The 15,847-nt window shown below is 65.2% G+C and overlaps 1 protein-coding gene and 2 long non-coding RNA genes across 6 annotated transcripts in view, besides 6 other annotated features; 1 reads left to right on the top strand and 2 right to left on the bottom strand.

Moving 5' to 3' along the window:
* Positions 1–11,845, bottom strand: part of SAMD11 (sterile alpha motif domain containing 11) — a 20,652-nt gene extending 8,807 nt beyond the window's left edge. For 2 of the 3 annotated variants that reach the window (NM_001385640.1, NM_001385641.1), the window contains exons 1-4: positions 10,820–11,845; positions 9,755–9,846; positions 5,432–5,613; positions 4,679–4,729 (exon numbers count right to left, since the gene is read on the bottom strand). In NM_001385640.1, coding sequence (NP_001372569.1) covers positions 4,679–4,729; positions 5,432–5,613; positions 9,755–9,846; positions 10,820–11,336 — 842 coding nt within the window. In that variant the 5' untranslated portion in view covers positions 11,337–11,845. Of the gene's footprint in view, positions 1–4,678; positions 4,730–5,431; positions 5,614–9,754; positions 9,847–9,967; positions 10,038–10,819 lie in introns of those variants that run through there. The other variant, NM_152486.4, reaches the window with a different exon arrangement.
* Positions 4,743–5,243: an enhancer, noted in NCBI's record as "H3K4me1 hESC enhancer chr1:865905-866405 (GRCh37/hg19 assembly coordinates)". NCBI's record gives its function as "activates a minimal SCP1, AML or CMV promoter by ChIP-STARR-seq in primed H9 embryonic stem cells {active_cell/tissue: H9 hESC(primed)}" and the evidence as "EXISTENCE:reporter gene assay evidence [ECO:0000049][PMID:30033119]".
* Positions 5,244–5,744: an enhancer, noted in NCBI's record as "H3K4me1 hESC enhancer chr1:865404-865904 (GRCh37/hg19 assembly coordinates)". NCBI's record gives its function as "activates a minimal SCP1, AML or CMV promoter by ChIP-STARR-seq in naive H9 embryonic stem cells {active_cell/tissue: H9 hESC(naive)}" and the evidence as "EXISTENCE:reporter gene assay evidence [ECO:0000049][PMID:30033119]".
* Positions 6,552–7,053: an enhancer, noted in NCBI's record as "H3K4me1 hESC enhancer chr1:864095-864596 (GRCh37/hg19 assembly coordinates)". NCBI's record gives its function as "activates a minimal SCP1, AML or CMV promoter by ChIP-STARR-seq in primed H9 embryonic stem cells {active_cell/tissue: H9 hESC(primed)}" and the evidence as "EXISTENCE:reporter gene assay evidence [ECO:0000049][PMID:30033119]".
* Positions 10,010–10,556: an enhancer, noted in NCBI's record as "H3K27ac-H3K4me1 hESC enhancer chr1:860592-861138 (GRCh37/hg19 assembly coordinates)". NCBI's record gives its function as "activates a minimal SCP1, AML or CMV promoter by ChIP-STARR-seq in naive H9 embryonic stem cells {active_cell/tissue: H9 hESC(naive)}" and the evidence as "EXISTENCE:reporter gene assay evidence [ECO:0000049][PMID:30033119]".
* On the top strand, positions 10,164–15,525 carry LOC107985728 (collagen alpha-1(III) chain-like). Its single transcript, NR_168405.1, has 5 exons — positions 10,164–10,250; positions 12,307–12,493; positions 12,625–12,755; positions 13,033–13,096; positions 13,259–15,525. It is a non-coding gene; the product is annotated as a collagen alpha-1(III) chain-like (long non-coding RNA).
* Positions 12,222–12,800: an enhancer, noted in NCBI's record as "H3K4me1 hESC enhancer chr1:858348-858926 (GRCh37/hg19 assembly coordinates)". NCBI's record gives its function as "activates a minimal SCP1, AML or CMV promoter by ChIP-STARR-seq in primed H9 embryonic stem cells {active_cell/tissue: H9 hESC(primed)}" and the evidence as "EXISTENCE:reporter gene assay evidence [ECO:0000049][PMID:30033119]".
* Positions 14,642–15,578: an enhancer, noted in NCBI's record as "H3K27ac-H3K4me1 hESC enhancer chr1:855570-856506 (GRCh37/hg19 assembly coordinates)". NCBI's record gives its function as "activates a minimal SCP1, AML or CMV promoter by ChIP-STARR-seq in naive H9 embryonic stem cells {active_cell/tissue: H9 hESC(naive)}" and the evidence as "EXISTENCE:reporter gene assay evidence [ECO:0000049][PMID:30033119]".
* LOC284600 (uncharacterized) overlaps positions 14,749–15,847 on the bottom strand; it is a 16,209-nt gene continuing 15,110 nt past the window's right edge. For both annotated transcript variants that reach the window (XR_007065340.1, XR_007065342.1), the window contains one exon: positions 14,749–15,798. This is a non-coding gene — a long non-coding RNA (uncharacterized LOC284600). The remainder of the gene's footprint in view (positions 15,799–15,847) is intronic.

The raw sequence follows: 15,847 nt of genomic DNA, 5'->3' as shown, positions 1-15,847 counted from the left end.
AGAACGAGACCGGGAAAAGCTGACCCCGTGGGCAGCTGCGAGGCTGGAGCCCAGCCTGGGCACAGGGAGTGCCTAGCTCTGTGTGTGAGCGTGGGGATGACCTCTGAGTGCCACGTTGCTGTGCCCACGCCTCGGCATGTGGCCCGTGACGCCACTGTGTGCACACCCACGCAGCACCCGAGTCAAAGCGACACAGAACCTGGCACTGGGACCTGGGACCCCACGGCTGCTCCAGGGAGGGTCTATGTGGAGCAGCCAGCCGGCTCTGCCTTCACGCCCTCCACAGGGAATCACAGTTATCTCACTCCCTGCCTCAAAGGGGGTCGAGGGGCCCACCGGGCGCCCGGGAAGAGGCCGATCTGCTCAGGGGCAGTCCTGCAGGACAGGCCCCAGGAGAGAATGTGCCACATGTGAACCATCCCCTGACCCCCGATTTCTGCACACGAGGAAACTGAGGCCCAGACCACAGTCCTGCAGCTGATGAGACGCGCCCCACGCACACACGGCACCGGCAGACACGTGCAGCTCGCACCAGGCACCAGGGCTGCGTGCTCCAACCTCCCGCTGTCCCCCCGGCAGGCGGGGGCTTGGAATCAACATGCATTTAACTCTTTTCTTCCCTCATTTCTCCTCTTCTTGCTAATTCAGCCCAATCCCACATCCACAGAGTCCCAGAGAGCAATGAGACGAACTGTGTGGAGCACGGCCCTCCACCCCTTCCCGGTTCCGTGAGCCTCTCCCCAGTCAGCAGAGAAGGGGCTCAGGGTCCAGGCGCCACTCCCTGAGCAGTCCTCCTGCAGCACCGCCCGCCCACCTGTAACGCAGCCGCCCCCCCCGCCCACCTGTAACGCAGCCGCCTCCCCCGCCCACCTGTAACGCAGCCGCCTCCCCCGCCCACCTGTAACGCAGCCGCCTCCCCCGCCCACCTGTAACGGAGCCGCCTCCCCCGCCCACCTGTAACGCAGCCGCCTCCCCTGCCCACCTGTAACGCAGCCGCCTCCCCTGCCCACCTGTAACGCAGCCGCCTCCCCCGCCCACCTGTAACGCAGCCGCCTCCCCCGCCCACCTGTAACGGAGCCGCCTCCCCCGCCCACCTGTAACGCAGCCGCCTCCCCCGCCCACCTGTAACGCAGCCGCCCCCCCCGCCCACCTGTAACGCAGCCGCCCCCCCCGCCCACCTGTAACGGAGCAGCCTCCCCCGCCCACCTGTAACGGAGCAGCCTCCCCCGCCCACCTGTAACGCAGCCGCCCCCCCCGCCCACCTGTAACGCAGCCGCCTCCCCCGCCCACCTGTAACGCAGCCGCCTCCCCCGCCCACCTGTAACGGAGCCGCCTCCCCCGCCCACCTGTAACGCAGCCGCCTCCCCCGCCCACCTGTAACGCAGCCGCCCCCCCTGCCCACCTGTAACGCAGCCGCCTCCCCCGCCCACCTGTAACGCAGCCGCCTCCCCCGCCCACCTGTAACGCAGCCGCCTCCCCTGCCCACCTGTAACGCAGCCGCCTCCCCTGCCCACCTGTAACGGAGCCGCCTCCCCTGCCCACCTGTAACGGAGCCGCCTCCCCTGCCCACCTGTAACGCAGCCGCCTCCCCTGCCCACCTGTAACGCAGCCGCCTCCCCTGCCCACCTGTAACGCAGCCGCCTCCCCTGCCCACCTGTAACGGAGCCGCCTCCCCTGCCCACCTGTAACGCAGCCGCCTCCCCTGCCCACCTGTAACGCAGCCGCCTCCCCTGCCCACCTGTAACGCAGCCGCCTCCCCTGCCCACCTGTAACGCAGCCGCCTCCCCTGCCCACCTGTAACGGAGCAGTCCTGCGCAGTGACCTAGGAGCCTACCCTAAACCTCGTTAAATAGCTCCCGGCTCCCCTGACCTGGGCTGGCTGGAGCTGGGCTAATCCAAGGCTGCCCCTAAGCAGATCCGTTTCAGCACCAAAGACTCCCAGGCTGGGCTCTAAACCTTCCAGGAGACCTAGATGACGGCTCTCCCCCACCCCCACCGGCTCCCAGTGGGAAAGGAAGCCCCCCCCAGGCACATAGGAAGGCAGCTGGGTGGGAGTAAGTACTTTATGGGATTAATCGGCAGCGAGACTCATCCCTTCCATGATCCTAATCGACGCGGGGGTGTCAGGAGAGGACTGCTGGCCTCAGCATGGGGTGGGGGCTGAGGGCTGGCCTGGCAGTAGCCACAGCTGCCATGGAGTTCTCCCCAGGGGTCCCCCCTCTGGTGTCCCCAGGACGCCTGCAGGAGGAGAACTAGTTTCCCAGAGACTCCAGAGGTTGGGGGCTGGCAGTGAGCCCCGAGCCTGGCGCCCAGAAGGAAAGTGAGGGAGGGCCTAATAGCTGGGTGGAGGGGCTGTGGCTGGGCAGTGGCACCTGGTGGGGAGCTGGGTGCCACCTGCCCTCCCCGCCCCTGGTCTCTGCCTTGGAGTTTGCTCCTGAGGTTCCGACACAGCCTGGCCTGGCCCGGCCCCTGAAAACCTGTTCTGGTCACTTGGCCACTCAGTGAGCCAGTTATGCCAGTTTTATGTAAAGAAACACGCCCTGGACGTCCCAGAGTGGAGAAGCAGGAACCCGGCCCGGGCACATCAGCGCATGGTCCTCGAACCACAGAATGCCCTCTGCACCCTGCTTCGCACAAGGGACGAAGCCCCTGAGAGTCTCTGTGGTGGGGCCGGGCTGCAGGTCAGGAGGTGGGGAAGCTGGGAGAAGCAGTCAGGGCTGGGGCAGGAGGCGCAGGAAGGAGAGGGGGAGGGGGAGGCCAGAGCCTGGCAGGTGTGACCCCAGCTGCCCACGCATGGGCCTCCCGCCACCGCCCCTCATTGATGACCACACGGCCTAGCCCTTGCCCATTTTCCCACCAGCTCAGGGGCCCAGGAGAGAGGGGCCAAGCCCCCGCCTGCAAACAATGGCTCGAGGAGCATCTGCCACCCCGGGTTCCTGAGGCAGAGGAGGACGGCCTGGGGCTCCGCTGGCTCCAAAAGGCAGGTGGTCACTGCAGAGCCAGCCAGACAGGGCGAAGGGGATGGAAGGACAGACGGACAGATGGGTGGAGACCACTGGACGGGAGCAAATGAACACACAGATGGAGGTGGCCTGGCAGTGTGTTCTGTGGGAGCCTGCAGAGGCAGAAGGACCCAGGGACAGGCTGAAAGAAACACAGACATGGTCTGGGAGCCCGTGTGGGTTCAGGGACCACCACCCGCTCTGACCGGACACCAGGGTCAGGTCAACAGGCGGAGGCTTCAGTCCACTCAGGCGTGTGCTGGGCCTTCTCCTCCGGGGACCCCAGCACGCCCTCCCCTCTGACCGAAATCTCGCCCTTGGGAGATTCAGAAACTCATCCTAGCCCCTTCTAGGGCCCGTGCAGGATGGAAGACCTGGCCTCTTCCTAGGGCACCCCAGGCTGTCTGCCGTCAGTGCTGCCGAGGGACGCTGCATTCCCGAGGCCAGGCAGACGGAGGAGGGGGCTGCAGGCAGGAGGAGCCGTTACTGGAGCGGGGTCGGGGGGACCGCGGCTGGGTTTCCCTACAGGCCTCGCTGACAAATGTATTCTGTAGTGTCCCATGTAAAAGGCTCATAAAATGTCATCAGTGTTCATGACAGTTCATAAAAATGATCAGGTGAGCTGGCAACCCCAAAATGAGGTAGAAATAAGTTTAAAGATGTTTTTATTGTAATTCGGCTCTGAGATCCAGACATTCTCAGAGACATAAATAATAACACATCTGGCGTGGAGCCAAGACACGCAGGTCCCCTGGGCCTTCACGGCTCTGGCCCCAGGAAGCTGGCCTTGTGGCAGACGCCTCCTTCCTGCCTTGCTGCCCTGGAAGCCACAGGGTGAGACCTGACCCCATTGACAGAATCCACAGCTGGGCTCTGTTCACAGACTTACCACTCGCTTCCCCCTGGAGCCAGGAACTCGGGTCCCCCAACTCCCTTGACCTCTTCCCCGGGGCTCTTCATTTTTATCTCCTTTCCACATCCTGGAATCACACCCCCTACCGTCCTGCTTCCACAGCCTGAATCCAATCCCCTGTCTGCCAGGAAGGCCTCCAGAGGGACCTTCTCCAAACATACACCTGGTCACTGCCCTGCTCAAGAACTTTCGGTGGCTCCCGCCTGGAGGACGGTGCCCACAGGCCCAGCATCCATGACTCTTCAGCATCCAACTGAACCAGAGCTGCCAGGTTCACTCCTCGTCCCTCCTACACGCCCTTCCCTGTTCCTCTACTCTGCAGACATCCCCTCGCCTTAGAGCTCCTACACACCCTTCAGGGCCCCACTCACACATCAGCATTCTCACCTCCTTGTGGGTCTCTAGGAGGGTGGGAAGGGGGAGGTGACAGCCTCATTTTTGGGCTCAAATGGCCAGTCTCACATGGGAGGAAGTGCACTCTAACTCCAGGGCCGGGCTGCCCAGAACTCACACCTGAGCTGCTGCCGAGAGCTGCATCTGACTGGGTCTGGGGTCCCTCAGTCCCAACTGGGTGCAACACTGTCTGCCTCCCGGGATGGGGGACAACCTTGCAGCACATGTCAAACCTGGCAGACACTCAGCCAGCATCACAGCATCAGCTCACGCTGAGACAGCGGACAGCAGACAGCAGGGCACGGTCAGGGGTGGGAGGGAGGGAGGGGAGTCACGGCCCCCTCTTATGCACGCACAGCACGGCTCCTACCTGCAGGACGCCTCTCGGAAAGAGATGTTCACGTCCCAGTGGGTGTGGACTCTGCAGGAAGGGAAGCAGAAGGTCCATGTTGCTCTGGAGGCCCCTGACCCCAGCCTCAGGATAGCAGGGCGTGCGCAGACCTGTCTCGGGTCAGTGCCCCGCTGGGCCACAGCCCTGGGCAGTGAACGAGGGCGGCTGCCATGCCCAGCACCACCTGCTACTGGCTCAACATGCTGGGGCCTCCCACTAGGACAGGCCCATGGGCCAAAGCCAGCTCCTGGCCTCAGCAGACACGCATCAGGAAGAACAGGACCGAGGCCCCTTCTCCCTCTTGCTTGTTGCCGTGCACTCAGAGGAGCCCTCCTGTTGTACCGCAGGTGGGGGCCGAGGCTGCTTCTGCACAGCCAGTCACGAGCCTGAATGGAGCTCCCTGTTGCTAGAGCTGCTCTCTGGCCAGACTGGGACCCGGTCAGCAAGGGTAGCTGGAGCGTCGGCCCAGGAAGGTGCAGACCTCTGGGTCCCAACTGCTGCCAACCTGCCTCTGCCAGTGAGCGCCGCAGAGCAGAGGTGGGAGGGGACGCCAGACAGGGGGCAGATGAGGAAACAGCTCCTGCCTGCGACCCACACAGGACCCCAAAAAGACCAGCATCTGAGGGAAGGTGTGGGAGGCCGGTGTGGACACTCTCATCTGAGCAGCTGAAGGCCTGAAGCTCCAGCCCCATCTGAGCCTTGCGCCTTCCTGTCCGGCCCTGGTCCAAGTACCTTCTCTTCATGATACGGATGTGCGGACCATCCTCCTGCTTCAAGCCTGGCCGCCGCCCACAGGTGGGGCCACTCCCGTCGCTGTCACCATCGCTGGCAGAGAAGCTGGGAGTTCGCTCCTTCTTCAGGTTCCGGGCGGCAGGCAGGGCGACTGTCCTCTTGTCTGCCAGCCGCCCCCGGTTCTGGTGGGGCAGGAGGAGAGGAAGGTGGGGCAGGAGGAGAGGAAGGTGGGGCAGGAGGAGAGGAAGGTGGGGCTGGACCGGGCCGTTCCATCTCCCGGGGGTCTGCCCTGGTCTCGCACCCCAGGCCGAGCCCCAAGCACGGCAGAGGTGCCCTCAGAGCAGCCATCCTCCCTCTACCTGCCTCTGGGATGCGCCTGGGGCCAGCAGGAGCCACAGCTGGCCAGAGACCCAGAGGAGAGCCGAGAGACGGGGCCGCAGTTGGGCATCCCCCTACAGACGACGCCCACTGGCTCAGCCCTCCCCTGCCCCACCCCACGCCAGCCTGGTTGGCCCAGCCCTTGAGGATGCTAGAGGGTCCTGGCCAACTCCAGGGCCTGAGTCGGGGCCACCCCATGTGCGACAGGCCTCCGTCCCGGGCTTGTGTGGCCCCTCATTCCCAGCTCCCTTCTTAGGGCCCCTGCGTGTCTCCTGGGATCTGCCTGTGGCCTGGGGCTGGTGCTGGTGGACGTGCACTCAAATGCGCACGTTCCCTCCGTGTATCTGCCTGCCAATCCCACCCGTACTTTGTGACCCTTCTGCCCACCACACCCTGCCACCGATGCCAACGTTGACAAGCGAATGCCCTTTTCTATTTCATCAGCGCCACGCACAGCCCGGCTCAGGGGCAGCTGCAGCCTGGTGCAAGGCCACTGGCAACTGTCTGAGCTGAACCCTCGCAGACTGCAGGCCCCGGGGCTCACAGGTCACCAGACGAGGAGCCCTCACCAGCCCAGGTCCCCTGTTCCGCAAACCCTGCCCCGCATTTCTCACAGGGCTTCTTTCTCCCATCTCCTTTGCACCCACGGAACGAGCGTGTGGAGCTGTGGGTGCCTCGGGTGGGAGCACAGACACGCCCGCTGTGGTCCCTGCAGAGCACAGCCGAGCCCCGAGCTGACGCACACACGCGGCGGACGTGCCCGCGGCACCCTGCACAGCACACCAGCGCCGGCCCAGCCCCAGGCACTTCCGGACTCCTCCAGTGTTTCTAGGTCCTGCCACCCCCAGGGATAAAGGAAAGTTATTGATTATTTTCCAGTGGGCGGGAGGCTTTTTTAAATGTAGTAACAGGCCGCTGGCTCCGGGAGGTGGCAGAGCCCTTGAGAGCGTCTAACTCACTCCCTCCTCCGTTCAGTCACCAGGGTCTCCTCAGACTTCCTCCCTCCCATTGCCACAACACAGCCCGGAGCTTGGGGATGAGGCTGTTAGGAGGGTGTCCTCCTCAGACCTAGAACCACCATCACCTTCAAATGCACAGCCCCAGTGCCAGCTTAGTTTGGGCAGTGCCCCCTCCCCAAGGGTCTGGAAGCTGGAGCATCCCCCCACCCAGGTGGAGGCCCCCGTCCCAGAGCCACGTCTCCCCTCACCGGCCACTGGGCCTGCGCTGGGTCCCCTCTGCTCTCTCCACGACAGCTCACTGGGAAAACGCAGCACTGCTGGGCAAGGGGTGGGGCCTGGGGTCCGAGGCTGAGACCCTGCCCTGACCCTGGGCTGCCCCCAACACCAATGACCACAGAGTGCGGCCAAGGCCGAAGGTATGATGCCTGTCTGTGCCCGGGCCTCCGCGTGTCAGCTGGAGCTCGGGGGTCCCTTCAACAGCCACAGCCTGTCCGGAGTGTGCTGTGCTGGGAAGTCCCGCTTAGCTCTGCCCTTCTGCAGCCCAAGCACCAGGGCTTAGAGGCTCTGACAGCCTCTCCTCTCCCACCTCTCTTCTTTTTTAGTTTTTTGAGACGGAGTCTCACTCTGTTGCCCAGGCTGGAGTGCGGTGGCACAATCTGGGCTCACTGCAAGCTCCGCCTCCCGGGTTCATGCCATTCTCCTGCCTCAGCCTCCCAAGTAGCTGGGACTACAGGCACCCGCCACCACGCCCGGCTAATTTTTTGTATTTTTAGTAGAGACGGGTTTCACCGTGTTAGTCAGGATGGTCTCGATCTCCTGACCTCGTGATCCGCCCGCCTCGGCCTCCCAAAGTGCTGGGATTACAGGCATGCGCCACCACACCCGGCCTCCCACCTCCCTTCTTTTGAGGAGAAGACACAATGCTTTGCTCTCTGCTTCTTGTCTGTGGGATGGGGAAGAGAGGGAAGCAAGGACCAGAAGACTGCCCCTTGGAAGGAGGCCAGGGCTGGCTGGGAATGGAGCCCAGGCTGTATACCAGCCTCAGCCCCGTGATGCGCAGAGTCGGGCGTGGGGACACACCGGCACCCCAGCCACGCCCCAAGGCACCTGGAGGGCAGGTCTGGAGTGGCTGATGGGGGTGCTGAGGACCAGGACAGCTTCCCTGCCACCCACCCTGCCCAAGGACAGAACACACCTCCTCCACACTAGAGACCTCGGCCACAGCACACAGATCTGAAAACTCGGCCCCTGACAGCACCTCCTCTTGGAAGGTGCTTGGCCTGCAGGGCCCCTGTGCAGGGTCCCCAAGGCACATACACACTCATATTCTGCCCCGGAGCATCTGTGACCATGAGGTGCACATGCCTGCGGATTTGGCATGGGGCTTGGGGGAGACAGCCTCTGAGTAAGAAACATGGGGGCTGGAAAGAAGGGGCCCCTGGAGTTGCTTCCTAGGGGAAGGGTGTGGGACAGGCCTGGGAGGGACTGGCAGAGGCAGGCCTGGATCTGAGCCGTCCCTCACGCAGGGCAGGGACCTGGGAGCCCCAGGTGGGGGGGCATCTCCTGGCTGTGGCCACGGGGTGGGGAGGAGATGCTCACGGAAGCACTGTCGGAAGAGACTGACGCTGGGCTCAGGCTGTGTGCTCCCCACTCCTGGGGGAGCCCTCAAGGGGGCCGCTCAAATCCAAACAGAGACCCAAGGCTAGGCAGCGGGCTGCCCAGAGGAGCCCTCTCCAGCACCAGCTGCTTGAAAGGAGGGAACTGGGCCTCTTGCCCCGGGTAGGTCTGTGACAGCAGACAGGGGGCTGCCGGCTGTCTGCACACCTGCCTGGGAACTCTGTGAGCTGCCTGCCTGTGCGTGCAGGTCCATGTCGGATTGTGTGTCAGGTGGGCACATGGGTGAGGTGCGGCTGTGTCCCCTTCCCCTGCCCAACATGCTGTATGTCTGAGGGACCAGCCGTCTTCACAGGTGTGTCTGCAGCCGCCCAGCTCCCTGGCTACGGCACTCATGGCTCACAGGCCCCTGGGCATCCCCTCCCCCATCCTACCTCAGGCCCAAAGCAGGCAAGCGGAGGTACGCCCGGGACCCTCAGGCCCATTTTGCACCTCTGCCTCTCCTACCCTTTCCTGGAAGAAGGGGTTCCTGAGTGTGTCAGGAATTGCAGCCCCCACCCCCAGCAGCCATGGCCCTAATTGGCTCCAAACTAGTCCTTCCCAACAGGCATTCTTCCTTTTCAGATCAATCCTCTAACCCTTGCTGCCCAACTAGGGGGCTGGAGACTGGGTAGGGGGTGCAGGTGCCTCCCTGAGCAGAAGGCAGCTCCCAGCATCCCCGTCTCTCCTGCCTGCTCCCTCAGTGAGGGTGTCCATAGCTGTCTACCCTGGGTTGGGGCCTTGAACCAGCCTCCGACTCCAGTTCCCTGGACACCAAAGGCCCACACTGCAAAGACTCTGCCCCTGGCTAGCCTCTGCGTCCCTAGGACACACTTCGACGTCCAGGCCCTTGCACCCTCTGGCCTTCAGCACCCAGAGACACAAGTCACTCACACCCAAGCCTGTAGCTCCCCAAAATGCTGTCGTCCCAGAATCACACCTCACCAGCTGGGCCAGAGAACACGGTGACCCCCAAGCGGTGACAGGGCACAGTGCCAGGCCCACGTTGAATTACTCCTCCCAGGGAGAAGACCCTGACCCAGGACTCGAGGATAAGCAGCTAAAAGGCACCCAAGGGGAGGCTCTAAGACAAGCGCGGCCCCCCTGTCTCCACCGGGGAGGGCGCTCGGGTGCCCGAGGACTCCTCCCCCGTCCAGGTAGAAGGGCTGGGAGAGCACGAGGTAAAGCCGCTTCCCCCTGCCCTTCGGAGGCTCCCTCCAGCACACCCGCAGGGGTGAGGTTAGGACTCTCGATCCTGAAAACCCTGAAAACCGCAGGGACAAGCTCCGCAGGGGAGAGTAACTCCCAGCCCCAACCGAGCCCCGCATCTCACCACCGGGGAGGATATTCGGCAGCCCGGGCAGTCGCAGATCGGAGGATGCACCTGCAGGATCCCCTTGGACATAAGCGTCTTCAGACTTTTCCCTGCGAGCAGAGCCGAGGCAGACCCTGTGAGGGAGCGGCACGCTTCTGCGCGCAGTCAGCGGCAGGGCCAGTACCCCCTCCCCGGCTCGTGGACGAAATACACCCCGAACCCCACACCCACCTCGGCCCGACTTCCCAGCCCGCTTCCCGTCCCACCCTCGCGAACGCCGCAGGGATCTGCTGGGCTCTGCAACTCCAGCCCGGGTGGAGCGCCCTCCCCCGACGAAGGGCCTGGGCGTCCCCACCCGGCGCCCCTCCTCCCGCGCTCCACCCTCTCCCCGGCCCCGAGGGAACCGCAGGCCGGGCCCAGAAAGGCTGAGTCCCGGAGCGGTGAGCGGCGCCGTCGGGACCCTCGGCCTGCGCGGCAGGAAGAGGCGGCCACCGCGGAACCACGCACCGCTCAGGTCCCGAACTTTTTAACTCCCCGCGGCGCCTGGCGCTCACCGCACCCCCTGTGTCCCGGCTCAGGCGCCCCCGCGTCGCACCCTTGGGCCCAGGCGCCCGCAGGCGCCAAAACAGGTTGTGTGACCTGGCGCCGCCGCTCGGGCTCCGCGCGCGCCCCCGCGCCGCCCCGCAGCCTCCCCCGCCGCGCGCTCGCACCCGGCCGCACGTGCGCCCCTCCAGTCTCCCCCGAACCCGGGGCTCCGCGCCCTCCCAACCCGCCTCCTGCCCGCTCTCTCGAGTCCCCGTAAACTTCCTTCGGGCCTTAAGGCCCAGGAGCCTCGCAGAGACCTTCCGAGCGGAGGGAGCGGCCCGCGAGCCCCAAGCGCTGTGGCCCAAGCTGGGGGGAGGTGCAGCGGGGGGCGATCTGTCCGTGTTCACCGAGGCCTCCGCGCGCGGCGGGGGTGTCCCCGCGCAGCCCTGGAGCTGCAGCGCCCCCTCGGCCGAGCCGGAGGCTCCCGGGTGTCCGAGTCGGGTAGGGGGTGGGGTCGGGGCCCGCGGGTCCCGGCAGCGAAGGGAGGGGCGGCGGCACCTTTGTGGCGGATGCTGCGCTTCCAGTCCTTGGCCGTCTCGCGGCCGCTGACGAACTGGAACTCGTTGGGCGTGAGCCACTCGCCGCGGTGGCGGATGGACGGGCCCTTGCTGCCCTGGCAGAGTTTGCGCACGTAGAGCAGCGCGCGGTTGGCGCCGCACTCCACCTCGATGCACGGCTCGCCGTTGTCCAGCAGCGGCTGGAAATCCGGGGCCGCGGCCGCGGTGGCCGAGAAGCGCTCGAGGGCCAGCGGGTCCCTGGGCAGGTGGAGGTGCGGGGCGGCCTCGTGCAGGCTGAGGTAGGCGCGCGGGGGGCGGAGCGGCGGGGCCAGCAGAGCCTCGTAACCGGCGGCCGAGGCGGGCAGCGAGGCGGCCGGGGGGAGGGCGGCCGCCGCGGGCAGTGGCGCCAGGTAGCCTGGCAGCGGCGGCAGCGGCAGCGCGGCCAGGGTCGGGTGGAACGTGGCCAGAGCCAGGGCCAGGTCCTCGCGGCCCGGGAACTCCTTCTTGACCGCCGGCATGGCGCCCCGGTGGCTCCGCAGCCCCGCTCTCCGCCGGCGGCAGCAACTTATTCCGGCCCGGGCTGGAGTTGGGTCGCGGGGGCCGGGGAGGCGCCTGGCCGCGCGCCCACGCCGTCCGCTAGTGCGCCCCGGCGCCCGCAGCCGCCGCCTACGCGCCGCCCGCCAGGCCTCCCCGGACTGCCCAGCCGGCCGGCGGGGCCTCAGAGGCCGGAGACATGGAGCTGCTATCGATCCCGGATCGACTCGCCGAGCGCCGCAGTTCCAGGGCCTCGGGGCTCCCCGGGGCGTCTGGAGTCCCGCGCCCCGGCCACCAGCGCCCGCGCCCGGGGCAGTCCCACGCCCGGCTCGCCGACCCACCCGCCAGGCCGAGCCCGGCAGCGAGGAGTCGCGGAGTCCCCGCCCCTCTCGGGGGTCCCAAGCCCCCGCCCCGCCGCCCGGGCCGCGTCAGTCGTGCACCCGCGTCCACTGGCGCGCGCCCGCCCGGCGGGGACTTGGGAGACTCCGCCGCCGACGCCGCCGCCACAACTTGGCCCATTTAAACGGCCCCGGCGCGGCGGGCGGCGCGGGCTCCCGCGGGGGGTGCGTGACGGCCGACTCGGGGCATCCGGCGGCGGCAGCGGGACAGGGCTGCGGCCCCCGGCACTATCCCGAGTACCGAGTCACTGCGAGCGGCTGGAATCCAGGACTCCGCGCGGGACTGGGATGGGCTGGGCTGGTCGCGGACCGGGCTCCTCTCGGAGGGAGGGAGCTGGGGGCTGCTCGCCGGGGTGTGAGCGTGCGCCGGCGGCTCTGGGACTTTGCGCAGCGAATCTGATGGTGGGCGTTGGTGTCCGGGAGGGCGTGGGTGGTCTCAGTGCACCTGCAGGGAGCGAGGTTGTGGATTTGTAGTGTGTTGCCTGGGCAAAGTGTTCTGTGAATAACAGGGCAGCACCTCCCCGCCCACTCGTGCCCCTTCCTATGCACTTGACAGGAGTGAGTTCGCCCGAGCCACGGAGTTCCTGTTCAGTCTTTTGCAGAAGACGCTGAGACAGAAAGGTCAAGTAACTCTCCTGAAGTCACACAGCTGTTTCAAATGCAGGATGTCTCACACCAGGACCGCGCCAGGACCATGGTGTGGGGCAAGAGCTTCCTGTCACCCCACACCTCCCAGCAGGAAGGTGGTGTGGATCCGAGGCAGGGTGAGGGTGGGGGATAGCGGGTTGGCAGAGTGCACGGCCTCCCACTAGGAGGAGCAAGGCTAGTGAAGCAGGACCGGCCACACCACGTCCACCTTGGTGCCTTCTGACAGGTCAGTCTGGGCCCCAGTCCCTGGTTCCTGGTGAGCTTCCCATCACCCCCCACCTCCCTGCGTGCCCAGATCGGCATTGCATCTGGAGCGTTCCGAAGAGAAACACAACCTGGGGGCGTTGGTAACAGCAGGTGAGACAGCCTTGTCCTGCGCTGCTGTGCGGTGTTGCATCCACTAGAAAGGGGCCTCCTGTTCTGACCCTGGCCCCTGCCCTTGAGATGCAGCTGGCATGTCCCTGTGGGCATCTCCCAGAGCAGGTCCAGGGGTGAGTGGGCCACAGGCCTGTTTGCACAGGTGCCTTCTTCGAGGGAGGGAACAGCCCACCACCACCTCCTGCCAGACCAGCTTCCTTGAGCATAAACCTGACCCTGGGTGACCACGCTGGGCTCCTTCACCTTATCTCACCAGAGGCTTCTGCTGGTCCCACAGCCAACCCGCGGAGTGAGGTCTGGGCCAGGAGTGCTCTGCTCAGGCAAGGAACATGCCCAGAAGCCTCCCCCGCTATCCTGGCCCTGTTCTGTGGGGGCTCGTTGGTCTGTTGGGGTCTGGGGGGCCAGGTAGGAGTGTGGGTGTGAGTGTCGGTGACCCTTCCTTATGTGGCCACCCTTGGCCCTATCAACCTGTCTGCATCCAGGACACCAGCACATCCCTGACCCCAGCTGTGGCTGCCAGTGAGTTCCTGTGCCTTCCTCTCCTGAAGTCTGTGTCTTCTCCCAGGTCTGATACCATGTGGAAAGTCTGCTCCTGGGGCCAGCTGGAGGCCATGTGGACTGGCCCTGAGTGCCCACTGTCTGGATGCAGCCCTGACCCTACTGCCCGTGTGTGGGCTACTAGGTTCACCTGCACCTGACCCTCCTTCTAGGTTCGCCTGCACCTGACTCCCTGATGTTCACACAGTGATTTGGAGAGGGAGGCTGGGGAGGCGCAGGTCTGCATGGCAGTGCCTCTCAGGGTCTGAGGCCCTTGGGCCAGGCCTCTCCTCTGACCTGGGCCAGCAGAGGGGCCTCCTTTCCCTTCCAAGAGCCCTCCCCTGTTCACCAGCATCTCATCATGCTCAGGCCCACAGTGTGGTTAAGGAGGGGCATGGGGCTGGCCCTGGGTTTCTGGCTGGGTGTGGGGGCCTACCCGGGGCCCATGGTGTCTTCCAGAAAAGACCCTGACTGGGTCCAAAGCTGGAGGCACCCCTCTATCCTCACTGTCCACTCCCTGATGTTCTGGAGGTCCCTCCAGGGGCTGGGTGAGGAGGCCTTCCCCACCACCTCCTTGTCTTCCTGGGAAGCAGGCACCCGTTCAGAGGCCACGTTCCCACAGGACCAGGCTCCTCACCCCCAGCATCACCCTTTTCCACGGGGTTGTGCCCCTTCCTTGGTCCTGTCCACTCACACACACCCGTGTCCGTGTCCATGTTCACACCTGTTCTGTGTCCACTCCCACACACCTGTGTCCACTCCCACACCTGTGTCTCGTGTCCACTCGCTCACACCTGTACTGTCCGTGCCCACTCACACGTGTCCCGTGTCCACTCGCTCACACCCGTGTCTCATGCCCGCTGGCTTACACCAGTCCCGTGTTCACTGGCGCACCTGTGTCCCATGTCTTGTGTCTGCTCGCACATCTGTGTGATGTGTTCACTTGCTCACACGTGTCCTCCACTACCACACCTGTGTCCCATGTCCACTCACACACCTGTCTTGGTCTGGGACACCTGGGCCCCACTCTCCCCTGCACTCCTCAGGCTGGCGGCAGAGGCCAGAGGAACGGAGTTCTGGCGCTGGAATCATCCTGAGCGAGGCAGGGACCTGGCGGTGTGGACTCCACCGCCCCTCCTCCGGCCCACCGAGCCCCGCCTGCCTGGGCCTTGGTGCCTCTGTCGCTGCTCCGGGTCCCCCTGCTGGGGCCCCTCCGCCGCTGGGCTGAGGCTGGAGCCTGCCTCCCGCCGCCAGAGGGAGGAGGTCATAAATAACCCTGGGGCTGCCATGGAGCAGACGGTGACCCCAGACGTCCTGGGGGAGTGTGGGGGCGCCAGGGGCCGCTGCCCCAGCCCGCATGCCGCCTCCGCCATCCGGGAGTGCCTGCCCAGGCTCCCCAGCATTTCTCTTAGAGCCCTTCTCATCCATCCCCTCATCAATCAATCAACCATTTATTGAGCCCAGATGTGGTACAGCCCCAGCCGGAGATGACCCAGAGGTGGGGTGGGGAGGAGAGAGATGGGGAAGCTGAGTCCGGGGCCACAGGTGCAGCCAGGAGGTGCAGGTGAGCAGCGCTCAGACCAGCCTGTCAGCCTCAGTCCTGAGCTTACTTCTGGTGATGGAGGGAGATATACAGAAAAGATCCTGCAGCCTGCAGGTGTGGCACAGCTGATCTTGGGCCAAGGATGCACAGCTGTGTGTGTGCCTGGCCACCGGCAAGGGCACGTGGGCTCAGAAGCACAGGTGTGCCCACACCCTGCGTGCCTGTGTGTGGCGCAGCAGCTCCCGACGCGCGCAGGACACACACACAGCACAGACAGACCCTCCCATGGCCACACGGACAAAGATGGCTTCACTATAGACACCGGTGCAGACAGGATGTGCACTGCTTTCCAAGGCCTGTGCGCAACACAGACTCAGGGCCTGTGGGCATCAGCACCGCCCAGACCCAGGCACACGTGATCCTCAGCCAAGGTGGCCTGTCCAGTCCTGGTGCTGTTGGATGGAAAGGCTAACCTGGGAGGTCAGGGGCTGTGGTATATCAGCTGGGCTCCCTCGGACGCTCCTGCAGAAGTGGCCAGGACCTCAGGAACGCACCTGCTCCTGGTCAGACAGGAGGGGCTGCCGTGATGCAACTTGCCCGTGCCTTTGGGTGCTGTGAGCTGGCTGCGTGCCACGTCGTTTCGAGGACGCAAGAAGGTGTTTCCAAGTCCAGTCTGTCCACCGACCTGAACCTTTACCATTGAAAGAACAAAGGGGTGGGGCCCGAGGGACCCTTCCCTGCCGTCCCGTGGTGTGTAGTCAGGGATGCTCCTGCAGACACACAGGTGGGCTCTGACTGCCAGATCGCAGGGGCGGTGCCGTGGTCCTCACCTGCCATGTCACTAGCGTGCTGACGCAGACACCGGCGAGAGCTACAGTGCTCGGCCCGGCACATCCCAGACAATTCCTCTGTAAATGCTGCAGCAGCCAGAGGCCCCAGCACCTTGAGGTTAAGCAAAGAGAAGGAATAGAGTTCTCCAGAGCCCCAAGGA

This window comes from Homo sapiens, chromosome 1 (assembly GCF_000001405.40).
Source record: "Homo sapiens chromosome 1, GRCh38.p14 Primary Assembly".
NCBI classification, from domain to species: Eukaryota; Metazoa; Chordata; class Mammalia; order Primates; family Hominidae; genus Homo; species Homo sapiens.
This window is presented reverse-complemented; position numbering and strand designations above follow the sequence as displayed.